General features: G+C 32.6%; 1 annotated feature.

Annotated features, from left to right (window-relative positions):
- Positions 327–527: a silencer, noted in NCBI's record as "peak2087 fragment used in MPRA reporter construct". NCBI's record gives its function as "represses an SCP1 promoter by STARR-seq MPRAs in K562 erythroleukemia cells {active_cell/tissue: K562}" and the evidence as "EXISTENCE:reporter gene assay evidence [ECO:0000049][PMID:32103011]".

Raw genomic sequence — 8,755 nt, forward strand, 5'->3', positions numbered from 1 at the left:
TAATACAATCCCAATCAAAAGCTCAGTAGACATTTTTTTTTTGGTGTGGAAATTGACAAACTGAATCTAAAATTCATGTGAAAATTAAAAGGAATTAAAATACCTAAATAACTTGTAAAGGCAGAATAAAGTTTAAGGAGTAACACTACCTGATTTCAAGACCTAATAGAAAGTTAAAACAATCAAGAAAATATTAAGTTATTGGCATAAAGATAGAAAAATATTGTCTGGAAAGAAAAGAACTACGATAAAAAGAATAAGGATGTGTTATTATAGAATTTTGCAAGGGGAATATCTTCTCTAAAGAAACTAAAATACTAAAAATGAATAGTAGGTTCTGTCTGGACAGCAGTAGACAAAACAGTGATGATCTTGGCCTTATGGAGCTGATAATGTAGTAGAGATAGCACTGCATAGCTCAGGGAGGTGACTATGATTATACATGAAAAACAAAAAAGAGGAAACAAACCCTTCGCACACAATGGTGTATCTTTAATTAAATAAAAACTTGAATAAATAAAAAACGTTTATCAGCTGTCTTTGAGGATGGAAATTTTTGGAAAAGATTAAACTTCCTTTTATTCAAATGGATAGAACAAAACAATGTATTGATTATCTGGTGAACCCTGGGAACTATTTATTCTTTACGTAAATTGTAGTGCTATCATGTATATTGTTGCTGAGTTTAATGACTATCTAGATGAGCAGAGGATTAAATTAAATTTCATTTATTGATCTTATTCATGAGTGGCTCATAGGTCCTACAGCATAGAAATAGTCCATATAAGGTGAAATTAAAAAAATAAAAGATAGTATTTTGCAGCTGCACAAAGTAGTATTAGTATTTTGCATGCATAAAATGGTTGTAAGTATCTTTAAATTAATATTTCATTCTTCAGTGTTTTAGTCAGTTTAGGCTGCTGTAACAAATGTCATAGATTGGGTGGCTTAAACAACAATTTGCTTCTCATAATACTTGGAGCTGGGGAATTAAGTTCAGTTTCTCATGAAGGCCTCTTCCTGGTTTGCAGTGGGACTACATCTGATTTTCTGTATTACCACATTAGAAGGTGGTAGGGAGAGAAAGATCTGGGGTCTTGAATCCCATTCTGGGACCTCACTCTCATGATCTCATCTAAATGTAGTTACCTCCCAAAGGTCACACCTCTGACCACCGTCACACTGGGGGGTTAAGCTTCAACATTTGAGTGCTTTTTATTTTTATAAATTTAAGGGGTACAAGTGCAGTTTTTTTGTTTGTTTTTTGTTTTTTGCTTTTTTTTTGAGATGGTGTTTTGCTCTTGTTGCCCAGGCTGGAGTGTAATGACGCAACCTTGGCTCACTGCAACCTCTGCCTCCCTGGTTCAAGCAATTCTCCTGCCTCAGTCTTCCAAGTAGCTGGGATTACAGGCATGCACCACTATGCCCAGCTAATTTTGTATTTTTAGTAGAGATGGGGTTTCACCATGTTGATCAGGCTGGTCTTGAACTCCTGACCTCAGCTGATCCACCCACCTTGGCCTCCCAAAGTGCTGGGATTACAGGCATGAGCCACCGCGCCCAGCCCAGTTTTTGTTACATGAACATATGGTGTGTTGGTGATGTCTGGGCTTCTATTGTTACCACCAACCAAATAATGTATATTGTACCCATGAAGCAATTTCTCATCCCTCACATCCCCCCGCCCACCTTCCCACACTCTATGTCCATGTTAGCTCCCACCTGTAAGTGAGAACATGCAGTGTTTGACTTTCTGTCTTTGAGTTGTTTCACTGAAGATAACGGCCTCCAGTTCAACATTCAGTCCATAGCAGGTTTCTATAATTGCTAATGATAGTTGCAAATACTCAAAGCTCATTTGTGTTATGTATTGGACCTCCTGTTGTGGTACTATCCCAGTGTCCAACTGTACCTCTTTCTTTCCTCTTTATGTTGTAACTTTAATGAGTAAAACTTGTGGAAGATTCAATATCTTTTACACAGTAATTAAAATAATCCTACACATGCTACAAGCTATTAATAAATTACATTAAGTAAGGGAAGGGGCAATTGTGTATCAGATATGAAGGAGATAGCCTTAAATATAAATTGATTGTTGATTTTAGAAAATATTTGACCATATTACTGACAAAGCACCTCAAACTTTCTTTAGAGGTAGAAACTTAGCATTACTAAAATACAATATGCATTCCATTTACTGCAGAATTTTCCAATTCATGATAAATTATTAGTACACACTTTGCATTACAACTAGCATGGATATGAAACCCAGACCCAGAAAATCCTTCCCGGTTCGTGGATATGCCTATGATTTTTTTTAATGTCGCTGCTGTTGAACACACACATTACTTTGTCTGTAGTGCCATCCTCACTTCCATTCTCTAACCGATGCTTTCCTACTCATCTTCACATATTTCATTTATTTTGTTTCTAGACAAAGAAAATTACACGTCTCTATTTGCTTTCATTTTCTTTACAAATCATTGTTATAGCATTATTTCATGGTTGTAAATTTTTAACAGCATTTTAATGTGTTGGGGGCTACATAAACGCAGAACACTAGGTTTTGTTAACGTGTGTTTGCTGAAATGTCAAAAGTGTTTCTGGCACAAGAAGTTATACATTCAATGCTATTAGTAGATGGAAAGATTGGCTAAATGATAACTATTGTTAGATGATGTTTGCTAAAGAAACAGTTTGGTAATAAGATTGTTTTTAATACTTGCTTAGATAAGCAGACACATTCCAAGTATTTTGAGGGGAGAAACGTCTATGCTTTTTAGAATATTTAATTTTGAGAAGCATTTCGTAATTTAAATAACTTATTTTTCTGTTTTAGAAATATCTACCAGAATCTTTTACATGTTCCATCTTCCTAACAACTTATTATGTAATTGTGCTCTGAGGGATAGAAAACATCCTTTAAAGATTAGAATCAGTTTATGTATTCAGGTATTTCAGGAAGTTCAACAAGAAGACAGAAAGGAATACATTTAATTAGAGAACTATAGTCATTTCTAGGAGTTTCAGGTAGACATAATTTTTATAAAGCAGCATTTCATAAAAGACAATATGAGACTTCTGTGTAAATAAAAATGATCAATGAAAAAAAAAATACTTTTTACAGTGTAGACCAGGATGTGTATTCAATATAATTACCTAAATATAAACAACAGAATGGAACCAATTTCCAAAACTTAGTCTGTAATTTAGTCAGCATTTATCCACTTTCCTAAGAATCATTATAATAGCCCTACTTTCATTTTATAATATTTGCAAAGGGATGTCTTTTATGCAGAACATGATTGAGCTATTTAGATTAAAACTATAATTACAAATTGCTTTATCAAATTTATAATCCTCTGATGAGAAAAATGAGTTATTTACTAACCATTCTAATGACCTCACTGCTCACATAGACATTTTTGGCAAACCTTCAAGGTAAGTTTCACCAAAATTCAGAAACACATAATATTGTAGTTAATAAGCAAACTAAGCCTGGAATATAAATATATCTATCCAAATAGCAGAATTTTACAGAGATTATGGATGTCTCTGGTTTTATGAGTAGATTCTTTTATTAAAATATTTGTTTTTACATTGAATTATATTAATATTTGAACCATACTTTAAAAATCAAAAGATGATTTAGCCATGTAATAATCAAGTGCAGTGTTTTATTATTTCACCTGCTAGTTTTTCTTCCTCATGTCAAATTCTAATTATGCTCAATGTATTCTAAACATAGGAAGAAAGATAAAGGATTAAAATAGTTATTATATTAAATAATGCCTATCCTTCCCAATTAAATGTAAGTTATTTGAAGTCAAGAATCCTTTTTTGTTTGACTTGGTATTCATAGTTTTTAGAACAATGCCTGGCACATAGCAGGTAATTAGTAAATGCCTTGTTAAATTTCAAATGAAATACTCAAGCAAAATATATAAATGGTATTGCTAATGGAAACAAATATTTTATTTAAAATTGTAATGAAGCTTTGTGGACTCCAAATCATTTTATTACTTGGACAAAATAATTAGCAAATAAAAGTCTGTAGAAAGGAGAAATGGCAGAGTGCTCTTTAATACAAATCTTGTCTTTTATATAAGAACACTTAAATGTCCAAGACTTATAACATGGGTTTTGTTAAATGTTCATAACATGTGTGAATCCTTCATCAATATTTGGAAATAACTCTGAAGAAACATATTGATTTTATTTATATATGCATTTACATTGAGTGTACCATTCTTTCTACACTACTTCAAAGAGAAAATTATTTTTTATTAGAGTATTAATGAGCTTCTTAATACTTACTAATGAGTAAGTAAAATTGGATATCTGAAAATAATGCTTTTCCATTAAAACGTTTGGTTCAGCAAATGAGAGTCTACTTGCTTGTTCAGTTCTGCTCAATTTTGCCTGTTGCAGAACAAACACATTTGGGTTTTAAATATATTTTCTCTAGAATACTTTTAAGCAGTCAGTGATCATCTCCTGGCAATTATCCTCTTCTGCATTTCTAACAAAGTAATTTCAGGTTTCTTTGAAATGTTGTCTTTTTTTTTTTTTTCTTCTATTTAAGTTTGTGATTTGAATTGCATTTTCTGGCTAGGCTGATTCTATTTCCCTGAGTTCACCTCTCCAGTAACATTTTCAAGTGTATCTAAGCTTACATTCCAAGGTCAATAAGATTACTGTCGACAGTCTAAATTCTATGTTAAAAATTTCAGACACAATTGAGAATTGTCATGTTATATTTTTAGCCTAAAGTTGTGTTTATACAGTTTTTTATTCAGATGATCAATTATTTTTAGCAAATATGCCTTTGAAGAAAGCAAAATAGACATTTCATGAATAAATTAATAACCTTATACCTAGAACTTTCATTAACTGATTTCTACTTGTGTTTGTATGCTCTTGCATTGCTATAAAGAAACACCCAAGGCTAGGTAATTTACAAATAAAAGAGGTTAAATGGGCTCATGATTTTGCAGGCTTTAAAAGAAGCAAGATGTTGGCATCTGCTTCTGGTGAGGCCTCAGGAAGCTTACAATCATGGTTGAAGGTGGCAGGCAGCCAGAATCTCACATGGTCAAAGGAGGGGCAAGAAAGAGTCAGGGGAGGTGCCACATTCTTCTAAACAACCAGATCTTGTGAGAACTCACTCACTATCTTGAGGACAGCACCAAGCCATTCATGAGTGATTTGCCGCCATGTCCCAACAGCTCCCACCAGGCCCCACCTCCAACATAGGCAATTACATTTCAACATGAGATTTGGAGGAGACAGATATCCAAATGATATAACTACCATTTTGATTGTGAAGCTCTTCTTTGTTTGACATTAGATGAACAGAAAGAGGAATAGAAACTGTCATTTTTTTTTTTCTTTCTGGGGCAGTGGCTCCTGCCTATAATCTCATCACTTTGGGAGGCTGAGGCAGGAGGATTACTCAAGGCCAGGAGTTCAAGGCCAGCCTGGTAAAAATTGTGAGACTCTCCCTCTAAAAGATAAAGAAAAAAAATAGCCAGGTATGGTGTTGTGCAAGTGTAGTTTCAGTTATTGAGAGGCTGAGGCAGGAGGATTGCTTGAGCCCAAGTGTTCAAGGTTGCAATGAGCCATGATCACACCACTACACTCCAGCCTGGGCTACAAAGCAAGACACTGTCTCCAAAAAGAAGACATTATCATTTTTCAGGATAGGAATATACATGATAGAGAAAACTACATATTAACAACTGACTACAGTAAATGTGTTTCACTATGACATATTGAAAATTCAAATTTAATGTAGTCTCTCCCTGAGATGGTGGGAGGAAAATCCTCAGAAATGTGGTATGATGACTTTTTAAACTTGGATTTCAAGGGTAAGTGCATATACCATCTGTTTTCAAATATTTTATAAACTATACATAACTTAGCACTTGGTCACAAACTCTCTACGAAGAAATGTTTCCATTCGTTATATCAACATTCAGTGCATTAGAGAAAAGGCCAGCATTAGATACAATTGCCCACTCATGAGTGTATAACCTTCTAATAACTAGGAGTTAGGGGAGTAATGGCCTCTGCATGTTATAAGGATATGAATGCGGAGTGGAGAGGGAAGTTTGTTGCACTTTGCATCTTGCATGTTTTAATGATGCTTTCAGCCCAAATTGACTCTAAAATTAGCTTTCATTAAAAAAAGCAACTAATAGGAAAAAACTGGGCCCAATATTGACAAGCCATGATTGAAAAGATTCATTAAAATCTCACATGTCACCAGATACACATCTTGAGATGTGATTCACAGGTCCTAGGAGCACAATCCGCTGAGCAGTGATACGGCTTCAGGGAGATATCAATTTGCTGCCAATCCTTTCTCCTTTTTTTCTTTTGTGCACTAAACTCAATAAATAGTGCTGTTTTACTTGTACATAAAGATTCATGGTACATAGAGTTTTCAGACATGTTGAAAAATATGGGAGAGAAAGAAACAATTTTAATGGGGTGTGTATATATATTGATGGAGCTACTTCTGAAGCCATTTGTTGATGTTGGCAAGAGGATAAAGTAAGAGCAGACTAAGTTTAATTTATTGTTTCTACTTCCTTGGGCTCTGAAAAAAGATCTTGGATAAGGGCTTTAAAAATAAGCACTGCATTTAATTGCTTTTGCAAAGAAAATCTTTCATGTTGATAGCCATAAATATTAATGAGTTATAAGAATAGAAAATGAGATAATGGGAATAGAAGCCTTCATCAGAATGACAATGCATGAAAACCAATTTTAGGACTTCAAATTCCAGCCCTGTTTGGGTAACTTTTACTTTGCTAACCTCCTACTGAAAGCAACTATGAAAGCTGGATAAAGAACATAAAACAACTGCTTGAATTCTTCATTATATAATCCAGGCAACCTGAACTTTAGTGGTCAAAAGAACAGAGAAAACAGAAATCCAGTATGGTGAGATTTTCAGATTAGTCTCTTGGATTCTTTCGTTGGGTAAATTCCTTTCTTTTTTTTCTTATTCACACATCAAATAGGGAAATTGCCCTTTTAACTCACTTTAAGAGGAACATGGTACTCTAGGAACACGAAACATTTGTTCTAACTAGAAGACAGAGATTGGCATTTTGGAGTTCCACGAACACCAGGAGTTGTTCAGAAAGATCCTGAGCTGCAGAGTGAGGCTAACCTACTAAAATTCACAGAGGTAAAACTTAAAAAATAAAGAAATAAACAACGGGTACTTCTATATATTTTCCAGAAAGAAAACTTCAAACACAGATAGTTTAACCAGTTATATTTACCAACACTTTAAGAAAGAATTAACACCCATCTTAAACTCTCTAAGGAAGACAAATTTAAAAATAAAGCATCCCTTAATTTTCTTTATGAATTAAGCATAATAACTAAAACAACAAAAACGTTATAAGAAAAGAAAAATTATATCTTAGTATTTTACTTGAAATCAGATGCATAAATGTCTATAGAAATTTTAGCAAATTAAATAAAGTAGAACATAGAAAGATTATATATCATGATTAAGGTGTTTATATCAAGAATTCATTTTTAATTTAATATTTAAAAAATCAATAAATTTTAGTATACCTACAAAATAAAGGGAAATCTATCAATAGATGCAAAGACCTTTGACAAAAATCATGATAAATCAAAAATTTGTTTACTCATGATTAAATATCTCAGAAAACTGAAAATAAAATTGAACTTTTTAAATCTGATGAAGTATAACCAATAGCTAATAAAGCAAAAATAGCATCAGTGATTAAAAACTGCAAATCTTTCCTCTGAGATCAATTACATAAACATGTCCGCTACCACCAATTCTAGTCAACAATGCAGTTAGGATAGCAAATAAAAGACACATATAAATATTGAAATGGAATAAATTAAACTATCCACATTCAGTTAAAATCCCCAAAGGAAAATGAAGACAATCTATAAAAATTTAAAATAATTGTATTAGTTGTTTGATTAAAAGTTAATATACAAAAAATTAATTGTATTTTCATATTTTAGAAAAATCAGATAAGCCATCGATCATATCATTAGAAGCTTAAAAATTTACATTCATCTAACATTGTCTTTATATGGAAAACTATAAAACATGATTGAGTGAATTCAAAATTATAAGTAAGATGAAAATTTTACACTTAAGATTGAAAACCCTATATTGTCAAGACTTCCTGAAATGATGTATTGAACAAAAGCTAATGAAAACAGTGGCAGTTTTTTTCAAAATTGTTTTAAATTTATATAAAAGTCAAAATGGCTAAGTTAGCAAAAATACTTTTGAAGAAAAATAAAGCTTAATATTTACACTGTAAAATTTCAAGGCCTTTGGTTAAGATGCAGTAATTCAAGCACTGTCTTATTAGTGAAAGAATACATAGATACAGGTATGTAACAAAATGGAAAAAACAACCTAATATATATGTGGTCACCAATTGTATAACAAAGTAACTACAGCAATGACACTGCCATGGCTTGAAGCAGAAGTGTTATTTTCAATAAATCTGTGATTTTTAAATTGAATTCTAGGATATCAAATTAAAGGGACTCATGGACTTGAGTGGGAAAAAATTACAACTTAACCTCTGCTAATCTCTAAGCAAGGTTTATTATTCCTTTCATATATGAATATAGGTAGAAAATAGCATTAGTATTAGCAGTACCTGGAAACTGTCACCAATAAAAATCATAGATTTTTCAGTTATTGAAGAAATCTTGAAATGCCATGTCAACG

This window comes from Homo sapiens, chromosome 13 (assembly GCF_000001405.40).
Source record: "Homo sapiens chromosome 13, GRCh38.p14 Primary Assembly".
Taxonomy (NCBI): Eukaryota; Metazoa; Chordata; class Mammalia; order Primates; family Hominidae; genus Homo; species Homo sapiens.